Here is a 17784-nt window from a genome sequence, read left to right as displayed (position 1 = left end):
ATTTGCCCAGGTACCTCATTCTTCTTCTGTACGGGAGAAGCACTCGGGAACACCCAAATGGCGAAACTGAAAGAACCCTAAGGCAAACAAGGCTGAAACATGCCACCTCCTGATCCTGCTCGCCACATTGCAGGCAACAAGGAGAAGAGAAGAGCTGGGCCCCTTCAGGGATCCCAGACCTAATGGCTCCCTGAGCCAGGGCTGTGACACCCTCTTTGGGGCTCTGCACTTCTTGGTGCCTCCAAGCTTCTAAGTGCCACCGTGTTTCCTGGAGCCTCTAGTGGAAGCCACTTGCGGGGTTTGCCTGGTCCAGCTGCAGCCTCGCAGGGAGCCGGTGCCTGTGCTGGTGCCCGGAGTTGCCTGCCCTTTGCCACTCCATACCTGGCTTGCCCTTGGCATGCGTGGGATCCAGGCTTAGCACGAGCGGAGCGCAGCCTGCCAGGCCGAGTGGGTGGAAGGAGCCCAGCGGGCCGAGCAAAACTCGGGAAAAGGCGCCACTGGCCACAGAGGTTTCCAGCTGGAAAAGCGACAGCTGAAGAATCCTGTGGCACTATTACTGAGCCATAGGTTTAAAGTATTTCAAAATTTTACTAGATATTATCAAATTGCCTTTTGCAGTGATTGTATCATCAGTGTATGAGAGTAAATGCTTCCTAAATAATAGTTTATTATTTTTTTGCCAATCTGATACATAAAAGATGATTATCTTGTTTTAATTCTTTATTTTTCTGCTTACTACTGGGTTGGAACATCTTTCTTGTATTTCTATTGGCTTATTTGTATCTTCTCTTCTGTGAATTGAGTATGTAAATTGTTTGCCCCTTTTCTATTGGGGTTGACATTCTTTTGGTATACCAGAGTTTTTGCATATTAACCCTTTATTATTTAGGTTGCAGACATTCTATTTGCAGAGATGCTATATTGACTTTTGGCTTACAGAGGTTTTAAATTTTGATGTATTCCATTTTATCAGTCTTTTTTAATACATCACTTTAGTGTTTTGATTCCTGTTTAAAGATTTGTTACCTCTTGGTCAGAAAGATGTTTTTATTTTCTTTTCACTCTTGTATTTTATTATCTTTACAATCGAGTCTTGAATTTATGTGGAATTTATTTTGTCTGTGTATACAATTTTTCTAACACTGCTGAACAGAAAAAGTCATTTTCTTCCTCCTGTTTTGGAATGTCTTTCTTACACATTTCATTATACAGGAGTCTGTTTCTGGATTCTATATGGTGTCAGTGATAGAATCCTGTGCCAGCATCATGTTATTTTAATTATGAAGACTTCTAATAAGGCATATATGAGACTAATCTTCCACCTTTTGTTCTACTTTTTCAAACTTGATGTTTCTTATGCCTTTATTCTTTTTTTTCTTTTTATACTTTAAGTTCTAGGGTACATGTGCACAAAGTACAGGTTTGTTACATAGGTATACATGTGCCATGCTGGTTTGCTGCACCCATCAACTCGTCATTTACATTAGGTATTTCTCCTAATACTATCCCTCCCCCAGTCCCCCACCCCCCAACAGGCCCTGGTGTGTGATGCTCCCCACCGTGTGTCCATGTGTTCTCATTGTTCAACTCCCACCTATGAGTGGTGTTTGGTTTTCTGTCCCTGTGATAGTTTGCTCAGAATGATGGTTTCCAGCTTCATCCATGACCTTGCAAAGGACATGAACTCACCCTTTTATGGCTGCATAGTATTCCATGGTGTATATGTGCCACATTTTCTTAATCCAGTCTATCATTGATGGACATTTGGGTTAGTTCCAAGTCTTTGCTATTATGAATAGTACCAATAAACATACGTGTGCATGTGTCTTTATAGTAGCATGATTTATAATCCTTTGGGTATATACCCAGTAATGGGATCTCTGGGTCAAATGGTATTTCTGGTTCTAGATCCTTGAGGAATCGCCACACTGTCTTCTGCAATGGTTGAACTAATTTACACTCCCACCAACAGTGTAAAAGCATTCCTGTTTCTCCACATCCTCTCCAGCATCTGTTGTTTCCTGACTTTTTAATGATTGCCATTCTAACTGGCGTGAGATGATATCTCATTGTGGTTTTGAATTGCATTTCTCTGATGACCAGTAATGATGAGCATGTTTTCATGTGTCTGTTGGCTGCATACATGTCTTTTTTTGAGAAGTGTCTGTTCATATCCTTTGCTTACTTTTTGATGGGGTTGTTTTTTTCTTGTAAATTTATTTAAGTTCTTTGTAGATTCTGGATATTAGCCCTTTGTCAGATGGGTAGATTGCGAAAATTTTCTCCCATTCTCTAGGTTGCCTCTTCACTCCGACAATAGTTTCTTTTGCTGTGCAGAAGCTCTTTAGTTTAATTAGATCCCATTTGTCAATTTTGGCTTCTATTGCCATTGCTTTTGGTGTTTTAGTCATGAAGTCTTTGCCCATGCCTATGTCCTGAATGGTATTGCCTAGGTTTTCTTCTTAGCCAGTTTTCCCAGCACCATTTATTAAATAGGGGATCCTTTCCCCATTGCTTGTTTTTGTCAGGTTTTTCAAGGATCAGATGGTTGTAGATGTGTGGTGTTATTTGTGAGGCCTCTGTTCTGTTCCATTGGTCTATATCTCTGTTTTGGTACCAGTACCATGCTGTTTTGGTTACTGTAGCCTTGTAGTATAGTTTGAAGTCAGGTAGCATGATACCTCCAGCTTTGTTCTTTTTGCTTAGGATTGCCTTGGCTATGCGGGCTCTTTTTTGATTCCATATGAACTTTAAAGTAGCTTTTTTTCCAATTCTGTGAAGAAAGTCATTGGTAGCTTGATCGGCATGTCACTGAATCTATAAATTACCTTGGGCAGTATGGCCATTTTCACAATACTGATTCTTCCTATCCATGAGCATGGAATGTTTTTCCATTTGTTTGTGGCTTCTTTTATTTTGTTGAGCAGTGGTTTATAGTTCTCCTTGAAGAGGTCCTTCACATCCCTTGTAAGTTGGATTCCTAGGTATTTTATTCTCTTTGTAGCAATTGTGAATGGGAGTTCACTCATGATTTGGCTCTCTGTTTGTCTGTTATTGGTGTATAGGAATGCTCATGATTTTTGCACATTGATTTTGTATCCTGAGACTTTGCTAAAGTTGCTTGTCAGCTTAAGGAGATTTTGGGCTGAGATGATGGCGTTTTCTAAATATACAATCATGTCATCTGCAAACAGGGACAATTTGACTTCCTCTTTTCCTTATCGAATACCCTTTATTTCATTCTGTTCCCTGATTGTCCTGGCTGGAACTTCCAACACTATGTTGAATAGGAGTGGTGAGAGAGGACATCCTTGTCTTGTGCTGATTTTCCAGGGGAATGCTTCCAGTTTTTGCCCATTCAGTATGATATTGGCTGTGGGTTTGTCATAAATAGCTCTTATTATTTTGAGACCTCTTTGTAGGTCTCTAAGTACTTGCTTTATGAATCTGGGTGCTCCTGTACTGGGTGCATATATATTTAGGATAGTTAGCTCTTCTTGTTGAATTGATTTGTTTACTGTTATGTAATGGCCTTCTTTGTCTCTTTTGATCCGTGTTGGTTTAAGGTCTTTTTTTTATCAGAGACTAGGATTGCAAACCTTGCTTTTTTTTGCTTTCCATTTGCTTGATCTTCCTCCATCCTTTATTTTGAGCAAAGTGTGTCTCTGCACTTGAGATGCATCTTCTGAATACAGCACACTGATGGGTCTTGACTCTTTATCCAATTTGCCAGTCTGTGTCTTTTAATTGGGGCATTTAACCCATTTACATTTAAGGTTAATATTGTTATGTGTGAATTTAGTCCTGTCGTTATAATGTTAGCTGGTTATTTTGCCCATTAATTTATGCTGTTTCTTCATAGTGTTGATGGTCTTTACCATTTGGCATGTTTTTGCAGTGGCTGGTACCGGTTATTCCTTTCCATGTTTAGTGCTTCCTTCAGGAGCTCTTGTAAGGCAGGCCTGGTGGTGACAAAATCTCTCAGCATTTGCTTGTCTGTAAAGGATTTTGTTTCTCCTTCACTTATGAAGCTTAGTTTGGCTTGATATGAAATTCTGGGTTGAAAATTCTTTTCTTTAAGAATGTTGAATATTGGCCCCCACTCTCTTCTGGCTTGTAGTGTTTCTGCAGAGTGATCAGCTGTTAGTCTGATGGGCTTCCCTTTGTGGGTAACCTGACCTTTCTCTCTGGCTGCCCTTAACATTTTTTCCTTCATTTCAACCTTGGTGAATCTGACAATTATGTGGGTTGGGTTTACTCTTCTCAAGGAGTATCTTTGTGGTGTTCTCTGTATTTCCTGAATTTGAATGTTGGCCTGCCTTGCTAGGTTGGGGAAGTTCTTCTGGATAATATCCTGTACAGTGTTTTCTAATTTGGTTCCATTCTCCTCGTCACTTTCAGGTACACTAATCAAACGTAGATTTGGTCTTTTCACATAGTCCCATATTTCTTGGAGGCTTTATTCATTTCTTTTCACCCTTTTTTCTCTAATCTTGTCTTCTCGCTTTATTTCATTAATTTGATCTTCAGTCACTGATATCCTTTCTTCCACTTCATCAAATCAGCTGTTGAAGCTTTTGCATGCGTCATGAAGTTCTTGTGCTGTGGTTTTCAGCTCCATCAGGTCATTTAAGGTGTTCTCTACACTGTTTATTCTAGTTATCCATTTGTGTAACCTTTTTCAAGGTTTTTAGCTTCTTTGCGATGGGTTAGAACATGTTCCTTAAGCTCGGAGAAGTTTGTTGTTACTGACCTTCTGAAGCCTACTTCTGTCCACTCATCAAACTCATTCTCCATCCAGCTTTGTTCCATTGCTGGCGAGGAGCTGCAATTCTTTGGAAGAGGAGAGGTGCTCTGGTTTTTTGATTTTTCAGCTTTTCTATTCTGTTTTCTCCCCATCTTTGTGGTTTTATCTACCTTTGGTCTTTGATGTTGGTGAGCTACAGATGGGGTTTTGGTGTGGATGTCCTTTTTTGTTGATGTTGATGCTATTCCTTTCTGTTAGTTAGTTTTCCTTCTAACAGGCCCCTCAGCTGCATGTTTGTTGGAATTTGCTGGAGGCCCACTCCAGACCCTATTCGCCTGGGTATCACCAGCAGAGGCTGCAGAACAGCAAATATTGCAGAACAGCAAATACTGCTGCCTGATCCTTCCTCTGGAAGCTTTGTCCCAGAGGGGCACCCACCTGTATGAGGTGTCTGTCGGCCCCTACTGGGAGGTGTCTGCCAGTCCGGCTACATGGGGGTCAGGGACCCACTTGAGAAGGCAGTCTGTCTGTTCTCAGAGTTCAAACGCTGTGCTGGGAGAACCACTGCCTTCTTCAGAGCTATCAGACAGGGACATTTAAGTCTGCAGAAGTTTCTGCTGCCTTTTGTTCAGCTATGCCCTGCCCACAGAGGTGGAGGCTGTAGGCCTTGCAGAGGGGCACTGAGGTCCACCCAGTTTGAGCTTCCAGGCCGCTTTGTTTACCTACTCAAGCCTCAGCAATGGTGGACGCCCCTCCTCCCACCAGGCTGCCGTCTCACAGGCCGATCTTAGACTGCTGCGCTAGCAGTGAACAAGGCTCCGTGGGTGTGGGACCTGCTGAGCCAGACACGGAAGGGAATTCCATGGTCTGCCAGTTGTGAAGACTGTGGGAAAAGCGCATATTTGGGTGGTAGTGTACAGTTCCTCCAGGTACAGTCTGTCATGGCTTCCCTTGCCTAGGAAAGGGAAATCCCCGATCCCTTGTGCTTCCCGGGTGAGGCAATGCCCTGCCCTGCTTCTGCTCGCCCTCCATGGGCTGTACCCACTGTCCAACCAGTCCCAATGAGATGAACCACGTACCTCAGTTTGAAATGCAGATATCACCCATCTTTTGCGTCAATCTCTCTGGGAGCTGCAGACCAGAGCTGTTCCTATTTGGCCATTTTGGAAGTGACTGCCTTTATTCTTGTGTACAGATTTTAGAATCCTAATTGTCAAGGATTTTTGGTATCTTTAAAACATTAATTTTTACATCAGTTGTTGATATATGTTTCCCATTTATTCAGGTATTCTTGTTTATCTTTTATATCTTGTATATCTTTTAGCACAGTCTGAAAATATCTTAAATAGGTGTGTTTTAACTTATTTTAAAGGGAGAAAGCATTCATTTGTACTTGGAATTTTGCCATTTTTAACTATTGCAGTTGTGTTTTAGTCATATATACATTCTAAACTTTGTCATCTTGTTCTTCAGTGATCTTTCTTATTAAGTTGGTACCACAGTTTGTCACCAGATTCCCTCAATTTGACCTCAAATATCTTTCAGTCCATTCCCTCCTTCTTCCTATTGTGTTAAACTATCATATCTTGCTTTTCCATTGAATCAATGTTAACATTTCTCTAATTAGCCTCCTGACACAAAAATCTATCTCCCACACTGTTTACCAGACTTATTTTATTTTAAAGAAAACGTATTTAAAAAAAGGTTTTGACTCAGAGCTTACAGAAAAATCCAGATTCTCTAACTTAGTAAATGCTTTTTTTTCCTAGCCATGCACACTGTTTATCCAAAGTTCTTAACACACTGAGCTTTTCACCCTTTCTTATATATACCAGGTAGTTTTGCACCTTAGTGGTTTTATCTTTTGAGAACCAGTTTAAATATCATCTCTCAGTGAATTCTCTTTGACTCTGCAAGGCAAAGGCAGTTGGTTAATTGCCACTTTTTTCACTCCCACACTGTTTTGTTTGATTCTGTGAAATGTCTTTGATTTCACAGATTTATAATTGTTTGTTTCCTTATCTACCCGCCTATCTAGATTATGAACTCTTTCAGGGCTGGGACTCTCTCTCTCTTTTATATTTTTTAGCCCACTTTGAGGTATAAATTACATCCAGTCAAATTCACCCCATTTTAAGTATCCAATTCAGTGAGTTTTGATAACTATATAGTCTTCTAGCAACTATCACATTCATAATACAAAACATTTCCATCACCCCCAAATTCCCACATACCCCTGTGCAGTCAATCCCTTCCTCCTACCATAGGCCATTAGCAAACACTGATTTACTTTCTGTCACAATAGTTTGCCTTTTCTAGAATTACCTATCAATGGAGTCTGGCATCAGTGATTATTCACATGGCTGGGTATATGACTTTTTTCTCTTGCCTAATGTTTTGGAGATTCATGCATATTGTTGCATGTATCAGGTTAGTTCTTCCTAATTTATTATTGAACGGTCTTCCATTTTTTAGATATACCACAGTTTATCCATTCACATTACTGTTGGAAATTTGGGTTTCCAGTTTTCAGCTAATGTGAATAAAGTTGCTCTGAACAGTGAAATTACAAGTCTTCATGTGAACATGTTTTCATTTCCAGTGGGGAAATACTCAGGAATAGTTTTGCTGAGTAAGATGGTAATTATATGTTTAACATTGTAAGAAACTGTCAAATTGTTTACCAGAGTGGCTCTACCATTTTGTATTCTACTAGCAAGGTATCCAGTTGCTGTCAGAACATGTATTCATTCTTTATACTTTGTTACAGATTGTCTTAAATAACAAAATGTTTTTTAAAGAAAGTAAGAGAAATACATTTGCCTGTGTACATGTGTCTTTTACATTTGCCCACATATTTGCCATCTTCATACCCATGTATTTTGTTTCTTCCTGAAGATCTGTAGATCTTAGTTTCCACCTGGTGTCATTCTCTTTCAGTTCAAGGACTTTCACTATGCTTGTAGTGCACTCCTGCTGGTGGCGAATTTTCTTTTCTTTTTTTTTTTTTTAATATGGAACACTTCACGAATTTGCATGTCATCCTTGCGCAGGGGCTATGCTAATCTTCTCTGTATTGTTCCAATTTTAGTATATGTATGTGCTATTTATCTAAAATAATCTTTTTTTGCCTTTGTTTTAGAAATACAATTTTGCTTGATGTCAAATTTAAAGTTATAGGGTTTTTTAAGCTTTATATTGATGTTCCATTTTCTATCAGCCCCCATTGCTTCTAATGAATGGTGAACAGCCATTTGTATTGTTACCTCATATACAGTTGACCCCTGAACAACATGGGTTTGAACTGTACAGGTCCACTTATACATGGATTTCTTTCAACCAAATGTGGATTGAAAATAACAATATTCTCAGGTTGCAAAACCCAGTATAATGAGGGTCTACTTTTCATATAGCTGGTTTCTGCAGGGCTACTGTGAGACTTTCATATGCATGGATTTTGGGGGAGCAGGTGGTGGTCCTGGAACTAATCCTTCATGTAAACCTTGTTACTAGTGTATAATGTATTATTTTTTCTCAGACTGCTTTAAAGATTTTCTCCTTATCTTTGGATTTCAGAAATTTTTTTTTCTTTGATAAGCTAAGGTTTCCTTTTGTTTGTATTTATTCTGCTTAGGATATACTGAGCTTTGTGGATCTGTAAGTTCATATTTTTTCATCATATTTGGGAAATTGTTTGCCATTATTATTTCACTTTTGCGGGGGCTCTGTTTTCTTACCTGCGTTCTGAGACTAAATACACATATTTTGGACTACTTTTTATTGTCTTACAATCACTAACACGCTTCCAGTCTATTTCATCTTTTTTTTCCTTACTGTTATTTAGACTGGATAATTTCTGTTAATCTATCTTCTACTTCCCTGTTTTTTTGTTTTTTTGTTTTTTTCCTGCCATATCCACGTTCTGCTGTTAAATCTACCTGATTTTTCATTTCATATCCTCCTTTTGGTTCTTTTTTTTTTTTTTTGAAGTTTTATAGTTTCTGTTCCTCATCTTGGATTTCCATATGTTCGTGCATTGTGACCATGTTTCCTGAAAGTCCTGAACATATTCATAATAACTACTTTAAAATTCTTGTTTGCATAGGTCACATAAGGATTGATTTCTGTTAACTGCTTTTTCTCTTGATACAGGTCTCAGAAATATTCCAGTATATACAATAAATCGCATAGTCATCCTGCCTTCACTTGACAGGAGCCAAACTTCCAGCCTGTCCTACCTGCCTGCACATCAGGATTCCTGTGTGCCCCTGGATGCAGCCCTACATGTTGTTTTGTATTTTTGTTCCCTCTTGGGTCTACAAAGTTACTTATCTTGTTTTTGAGTCTTTTTGATGTTAATCTGTTTATAAGGTATCTATTTTAGGTAGGTTAGCCTGAGGGAGTACATTGAAACACGAATTTAGTGCCCCTCCTGTCAAAAGGTCTCTGTTTTTTCCGAAGCAGAATGCTTTGGAAACTTGAGGAGTCTTTTTATTTGCTGATAATTTGGTTAATATGCTTGAACTCAGTGAAAACCTCATTTCAGAAATAAATATTTATAAGTACTTCACTCAAGTAATTCTATTTATATATTCCCTCTCCATTCCAAATGTTTAAAAGAGGGGTTAATTTAACTTCAACACAGTGGAAAAAAATAAATTTATAAGAACTAAATTGTAATAATATTAGAGATAAAAGTAAACGTGTCTGTTGTTAAATAAGAAATTAATTACAAATTCATTTAGGGTCTTTACTATAAGTGAAAAACTATATGTGTATAGCAAAAAGTTATTAATAAGTATGCATGTGTATGTGTATATATGTATACCTAGATACTTTTTATATATGTTATTTTTAGTCTTTGTGTTTGTTTATAACTATGCCTACCTACATTGATTTTTCAGGAGCATTATACAAATTAAAATAACTGTCAATATTAATGAAAATCTGTTTAGTATTTTTCTAAAAAAATTAACTCATGTTTGTGTATTTATTTATTTATTCATTTATTTATTTTTGAGGCGGAGTCTCACTCTGTCGCCCAGGCTGGAGTGCAGTGGCAGGATCTTGGCTCACTGCAAGCTCCGCCTCCCAGGTTCATGCCATTCTCCTGCCTCAGCCTCCCGAGTAGCTGAGACTACAGGTGCCCGCCACCACGCCCAGCTAATTTTTTGTATTTTTTTAGTAGAGACAGGGTTTCACCATGTTAGCCAGGATGGTCTCGATCTCCTGACCTGGTGATCTGCCCGCCTCGGCCTCCCAAAGTGCTGGGATTACAGGTGTGAGCCACCGTGCCTGGCCTGTGTATTTATTTTTGAAAGATAAAAGCTTGTAAAGCTATTAATTTGCCTGTAAGTGTAACTTTGGCTGTGTTCATGGACAAAGTTTTGGGGAATTGGAGAGATAATGATTGATATTTGTTAAGAATTATTCCCTTTTATTAGGTGATTTTCACCCATTATTTAATCCCCATGACAACCTTGATTTCTTCTTCCCTATTCTGGATTTGAAGAAACAGGTAGTACATTTTTCCCAAAGTGATACAATATGGAAGTACCAGAAATGGAATTTAAACTTAGTGCTGTCTGATTCCAAACATGTTTTTCTTTAGTTCTTGTTAGAAACTTCCTGAGTGTTCTCATTGTCATTATTTTCTGAATATTTTTAGAGTTTTGATTTTCTTTTGGACCCGAAAGTTATTTATTTAGTAAGACTTTTTATTCTTTGTTTATTTGCTTTTAATATTTATCTTTTAATTATATTTAAAAAATCAGGGGATTGGGGGTGGTTCTTTTTCAGTAGGCAAGAGTTTTTAAATGTGTTTATTGTTGATCTTTAAATTTATTATATTGTACTTATAGAATGTGTTGTCTTAATTTCCATGTGTTTAAAATTTCTTAACATTTTCTTTGTTTTTGGTATATAATTATTTTTAAATGTTATTGTTTTAATATGTCTCTAGATTAAATAGGTCTCATACTTTCTCTAAATTTCTCTCTCATATATACTGTTCATGGTCTTTGTATATAAAATATACCTTATCAATTTGGCTTTTGAAGTCATATCATTACTATTAACTTACTTCCAAAGTATGTTTAATTCTGAAGTGTGGGTAATATTGAAGTCTTGGCAAACTCATGTGATTAGAAACACCCCTGGTGCAACAGAGTGTGTTTTTGGATTCAAAAAAAAAAAAAGAGTAGAAAGAATTTTCCAATTAGATTTTAGAAACAAGTGAATTGGTTTATATGGAAAGGAAATTTGGTTATATGAAAGATATACAGTATCCCCAGTGAAGGAAAAAAAAGTCATAAACGTTTCTCTTAGAAAGTATTATGTTAGATTTATCTCATGTCTGCAGAGATAAAATGGTAGGTTTTCATTAAGTTATTATAGGTTTTCTTTTATAGAAACATAAACCAAAGTTAGTTAAGAAAAACTAAATTGAAGTGAGAGCTCTGGACTTGGAAAAACCCAATGGAACCTTAAGATTTGTCTGTTATATTGCTTCATTATTACCTGTTTTTCAACTGGAATTTTAGAGAGAAATTTACAATATTTTCAATGTATTTATATAGAACTATGATTATTTATAAAACATATTTTTATAGTTTTAATACAAAAATTCCCTTAAGGAGATTCTATATAATCTTTGTTAATTAAACTTTCAAATTTGAAAGTAAATCATGGCTGCACACTATTTGTCAGAAGTTATGACACTCTTTATAAAGCCTTTTTTAAAAATCTGGGGTGATAGGCTGGGCATGGTGGCTCACACTTGTAATCCCAACACTTTGGGAGGCCAAGGCAGGAGGAACACTGGAGCCCAGGAGTTCAAGACCAGCCTGGGCAACAAAGCAACTAAAACAAAACAAAGCAATTCTACTGGAAAACAAACAAACAAAAAAGATTAGCCAAGCATGGTGGTGCACACTTGTAGTCCTAGCTTCTTGGAAATCGAAAGTGGATGAATTGATTGAGCCCTGGAAGTCAAGGTTGCAGTGAGCCGTGATTGCACAGTGTACTCCAGCCTATGTGACAGAGCAAGACACTGTGTCAAAAAAGAAAGAGAGAGAGAGAGAGAGAGAAAGAAAGAAAGAAAAAGAGGAAAGAAAAAGAAAGAATTTTGAGGACTGCTTTCAGTTTTACATCTCATGTACATCTCATCTTTACTGGTTTATTATTGTTAATTTTTTTTCCATTGGTAATTCCTCTGAGTTTTACTTTCTAAAACATACCCAAAATCTTACCATTTATCACTACCTCCATACAACTACGTTTGTCTAGGCCCTCATCATAGTTCACCTAAGTAGACTCTCTTAGCAGCCCCTTATTGGACTTCCAGCTTCCATTTTTTCCTCTATGTAGTCTTTTCTTTACACAGCAGATAGAAAGATCTTAAAACATTTACTCCTCTGCCCAAAACCATCCCAAAGTTAAAGCTATAATCCTTAGTATGGCCCTTAGAGTCCTCTGTGACTGGCCTGTGACTGCTTCTCTAATCGTATCTCCTAATACTTTCTGTTTTTTCACTGTGCTCTAGCCATGGGACTTTCTTACTGTCTCCCTGAAATGTTAAAAGCACACCCTTAGTTCAGAAGATTTGCATTTACTGTCTTCCTCCCAGACTGCACTCCTTTCAGATACCTGAATGAGTTGCTCCTACAGTTCATCCAAGACTCTACTAAAGTGATTTCACCAGAGGATATCCCTGACCTCTCATATCTACAATTCTCTTCTTTCCTTACTTGCAAAGCAGCCTATATGCATAACTGTAGATTTTTATGGTTTTTTTCCTCCTAATGTTTAACTGTTTTCTTACCCAGGCCTAATTTTTTTTTTCTTTTTTGTTTTTATTTTTAGATGGGGTCTCACTATGTTGCCCAGAATGGTCTCAAACTCCTAGGCTCAAGCAATCCTCCCACCTCAGCTTCCCAAGTAGCTGGGATTAGGGGCATGCCATGGCACCTAGCTCCAGGCTTAATTTGACAACAGATATTTTAGCAATGTTTTATTGAATTCTTTCAGAACATTCAAATTAACTTCATAAAGACAAACACTTTTTTGTACTCATAAATTCACTGGTGTATGTAATATTTAATTACATCTCATAATTATAATAAAAGATACAGTTAGCATAAATGGTTTGGGAATAAACACACCTGATGCTTGGTAAAGCTAAAACTTAACTGATGGAAATAGAAGTGTGGGCTTCATTCTAGAGTACTCTGCCAGAGTCAGCATACATAATATGTGAACATTAATCAGAATGTTCTACAAAAGTAGAGTCTTTACTAATCAGTCCAGTAAGTTGATCAAGTAGAGTTCGATTAAAAGAGCTTAATTTGTAATCAAAATTAGAAACTGAAATAGATTTAGCTTAATTACATATATAGCTTTTCCAGATTATCCTAACTTTATTGGATTAGTTCATCTCTAAAATTCATATAAAATTAATTCCACAAGTGGGAATAAATGACTACTAGAGAACTGCCACTTTTCTTAAAATAACATAGATTGTAAAAAAATATATCTAATCAAAGATGTCCTACAAATGGATAGTGTTGATGGTTGCACAAAATTGTAGACATACTTAATGTCACTGAATTATACACTTAAAAATGCTTAACATGGCAAATTTTATATTATGGATATTTTATCACAATAAAAGAAAACTGAAAAAATACATCTTTACTTACATTTTTTAAATGTAAATAAAACTTTTGGGCAATGTTACTATGCAGTATAGAAGAAAAAGCAGAAGTCATGGAATTAGAAGTCTTGTATTTATATAATACTAGTTCTATCATGAGTGAGTTGGATAGATTTTGGCAAGCCTTTTAAACTATCTTAGCTGTAGTTTTCTTATGTTGAATATAAACATACTTGTTTTTAACTCTCAGGAATTTCGTGAGGAACAAGTTTAAGTTTTATATATATCTATGTATGCTTTTCATAAACTACAAATAAGTTTATACACTTTAGCTGGAACTTTTTATAATTTCAGAGGGGTTATTGAACTGACTGTTGGCATTGGATATAAGAATTTGGCTTCAGGCATTTGCTATTGAGGTTTTAAAAATGTTTAAATATCTTACTGTAATTTTTTTGTTTTGTTATTTGGGACAATGCAGCTGTTTTCTCCTAGGGTATAATTAGTTGAGAATGGAAAAGTTTAGCTTATATTTGGAGAGTTATACTTCTTATTTCCATTATAAAATTTTCAGTTTTTTTCCTAATTTGTGTCTTTGCTTATTGGGTCCTCTTTATGACTTTTGGGGAGAAAGCCTCCTAGACTGAGGTAGATATTAGATAATTAGCTTTCTCTTTCTCCTTGGAAGTCAGTGAGTTAAGTAACAAAAATCATACAAAAGTTATATGATTTGTAAAAGTTATATACAGTGGAAGAGAAAATGTTAGTTTGAGTAAGGTACAACGATGAAGTCATAAATCAGATTTAAGCAACAGAAAATTATTTATTGCTTTGTTGCCCAGGCTGGAGTGCAATGGCGTGATCTTGGCTGACTACAGCCTCCACCTCCTGGACTAATGCATTTCTCCTGCCTCAGCCTCCTGAGTAGCTTGGACTATAGGCAATCACCACCATGTCCAGCTAATTTTTTTTGTATTTTTAGTAGATATGGGGTTTCACCATGTTGGCCAGACTGGTCTCAAACTCCTGACCTCAGGTGATCCCAAAGTGCTGGGATTACAGACATGAGCCACCACACCTGGCCTAGAAAATTATTTATCTTGGGCATTGATTAAATTGCATTTCTAGACACTCGCCGTCAGTAGACTAAAAGATTTTTTTCCCCTCTGAATAAGAAAACCGTTCGTTCAAGGAACTCAATATTAATTAATTTTTGCAAAACATCCCTGTTTGTTTTGTTATAACAAAACAGTATAATTTTAATATGCTCTAATAAATATATTGTATACAATACAATATGCTGTGACAATATACTGTAATAAAATTACCAGCACCACTACTCTCGTGCTTTGTGGCCATTCTGAAGCAAAATAAAGGTTAACTGAACACAAGCACTGCCATATCAAGACAGTGGATCTGCTAACTGAGAAGGCTACTAAGTGACTAATGGTGGGTAGTATATAGAATGTGGCCACACTGGGCAAAGGGATGATTCATGTCTTGGACAGGATGGAGCAGGACAGTGCAAGATTTCATCAGGCTACTCAGAATGGTATGCAATTTAAAACTTATGAATTGTTTATTTCTGGAATTTTCCATTTAATATTTCTGGATTCAGTTGACTGTAGGTAACTGAAACTGCAGAAAACAAAACCGTGGATAAAGGGAGATTGCTGTGTATATGATCCTCAGTGACTGGCTTTTCCTAGGTGTCTCCTCCCTCTCCCCTGCCTCCTAACAGTGATGTTCTATCCATGCAGAACCATCTTTGTATATTCTAAAATATAGTCCCTTGCTTTTATGTGTGCTGTTCCTTCTACCTTTTCCCCTCTTGTCCAGTTAGTGATGTACTTCTCACTTTTATAATGCTTTCTTTTACTCCCTCTTCTATGACATTACCATTGCTTCTGTTTATCTCTGTTAAAACCTCATTGCATTTTAATTGCAGTTTATCTATTTGTCTCTTTCCCTGAGTTAAAAACTGAGTATCTTGATGAAAAGAACTTTGTTGTATCCATCCATTTATTCCCCATACATAGCACATTGTCTGAAGATGCTTTGTAAATGTTTGTAGAGTGCAGGAATAGTATTATACATATGAAAACACAAAAGTCTGAAGGTGATATACATATCAATGATGATGCTGCTCTAGGTATCACAATCAATTGTGCTTCTGGTTAGACTGGGCCCCATGTTTCCTGGCTCCCTCAGTCCAATGCTCTGCCACTAAAGGGAATTAATTTTGGTTCTTAACAAAACATCTTTTTGTTTTTTTCTTTACAGATATTGATGATGTTAAGAAGTTCAAACCGGGTTACCTGGAAGCTACTCTTAATTGGTTTAGATTATATAAGGTACCAGATGGAAAACCAGAAAACCAGTTTGCTTTTAATGGAGAATTCAAAAACAAGGTGAAGATGAGAATCTTTATTTTAAAATGTACCTCCTGATACCTGTACAATATTCGTTTCACTTGGGAAGTTTCTTATGTGAATATGTATATATAGCATGGTTAAAAAAGTGCTTTTTACTAACTTACATATTTAAAAACATTATTTTATTATTTAAATTCTGTTTCAGAAGATCTAAGTGAATCAACAAGGCTGAAAAATATATATTTCCATCTATGTGTCTATAGCTCCTACGTCTTGGAAAATGAAGGAATTTCATGATCAGACTAATTTTGCAAATTGTGTACATAGAAAAACTTTCTATTTACTGTTTTGTGGAGGAGAAAGTTACTCACCCTTAATGTAAATCCATAGGGGACTCCCTCCTAAGTGTTCATTCTACCACGACGGAACTAAGCTGCTTAACAATTGAAAGGACACCTGAATTATCTTACTGTCATAGGATTTTTCTATTAGAATACCACTGAGTTACCACAAAGTATCTCTAATATGACACAGATGGAGAGAATAGACCAAAGAGTTAAAGTCTAAAGCATGGAATTTTTTTTAAAGTTATTACCACTAGGTAAATTGAATATTTGAAACCAACTTTTAAGTGGATACCAGTAAGTATGTTTTATAAGTGAAATAAGGCATGTTAATGAAAACTTAAAATTTATAATGGGTATTTTGCTGTAAAAGAATTGATTGCTGGACTCAGTGTTTTTTTGAAAGCACATTAAAAGAATCCTTCAAATCTTGAGGGCTTTGTCTGGGATTATTAAATGTAAATATAAAATTATTATTTTAGATTAAATTATCTTAAAGGATTGAAAATTTATACATTATTTTTCTTTTAAAAATTTTCATTTTATTATTGAGATAATTGAAATTTTAAACCTATATGGTATTTTTGCCTCAGGGTAAGTCTGCCAAGTCACGAATTTGTAAAGAATGAGGTAGTTTTTTTTTGTTTGTTTTTAACAAATAGTAATTCTTTTCTGTATAAAGATGAGGTCATTTATACAACTTCACCAGAAAATAATTGTTTTATGCATTGCTTTTTACTACTGCTATTTAAAATATAGAGCCTTAGTGCCCTTAGTATTGCTATGAAAGAACTGCTGAGGCTGGGTAATTTATAAAGAAAAGGTTTATTTAGCTCACAGTCCTACAGGCTATACCAGAAGCATGGTGCTGGCATCTGCTTCTGGTAAGAACCTCAGAAAGCTTCCAGTCATGCCAAAAGATGAAGGGGGAGCAGGCATGCCACAGGGTGAGAGAGGAAGCAAGTGAGAGAGGTGGAAGGTGCCCAGGCTCTTTTTAACAATCAGTTCTTGTGGGAACTAACAGCAAGAACTCACTCATTACTCTGAGGAGGCACCAAGCCATTCATGAGGGATCCACCCCCATTATCCATACACCTCCCATTAGGCCTCACTTCCAACACTGCGGATCAAATTTGAACATGAGATTTGAGAGGACAAATCCCCTCAAACCATAGCAGGGTATAACTCAAGAATTGATTTGTGCCTCTTTAACATGGTTGGAAAGATGGCTCCTTTCTTTTATTGTGGGTTTTTCTTGCCACTCCTTTAAACAAGTATTGAAATTGGTTCTAAATAATCACACTTATCCAAATAATTTGATTAAAAATCTATCCTTACATAATCAGATAATGTATTAGATTTCTTGTCCTGTATCTGAAGTGAGATTCCCGCCCAACACTATCTCATTAAGATATAAGTCGTCCTCCATCGCAGGCAATCGTAGACCCGAGAGAAATTCTCTTTTCAGAGGATAAATTTCCCATTATTACTGTACCTCAGTTCCCAAGATTCTTTAGTTTCTTTATTATCATAATGAGTTTAGTTATCATTGAAGAAGAAAGGAGCTACTTTGAACTAACCAGTAAGGACTCTCCTTAAGGAAAACAAACAACAATTTTTGGGAAAAAACTCTAAAGAACTTTCTGCTTTGGAATTATAAAGCAA

The 17784-nt window shown here is 36.7% G+C and overlaps 1 protein-coding gene and 1 pseudogene across 4 annotated transcripts in view; one reads left to right on the top strand and one right to left on the bottom strand.

Annotated features, from left to right (window-relative positions):
- Window positions 1-17784, top strand: part of PPA2 (inorganic pyrophosphatase 2) — a 104994-nt gene that overhangs the window by 59223 nt on the left and 27987 nt on the right. For all 4 annotated transcript variants that reach the window (NM_176867.3, NM_176866.2, NM_006903.4 and 1 more), the window contains one exon: window positions 15684-15811. In NM_176867.3, coding sequence (NP_789843.2) covers window positions 15684-15811 — 128 coding nt within the window. The remainder of the gene's footprint in view (window positions 1-15683; window positions 15812-17784) is intronic.
- RNU6-553P (RNA, U6 small nuclear 553, pseudogene) lies at window positions 7756-7851 on the bottom strand (annotated as a pseudogene).

This window comes from Homo sapiens, chromosome 4, assembly GCF_000001405.40.
Source record: "Homo sapiens chromosome 4, GRCh38.p14 Primary Assembly".
Classification (NCBI taxonomy): Eukaryota; Metazoa; Chordata; class Mammalia; order Primates; family Hominidae; genus Homo; species Homo sapiens.
Note: the sequence above shows the minus strand (reverse complement) of the source record. Positions and strands in the feature narration are given on the sequence as shown.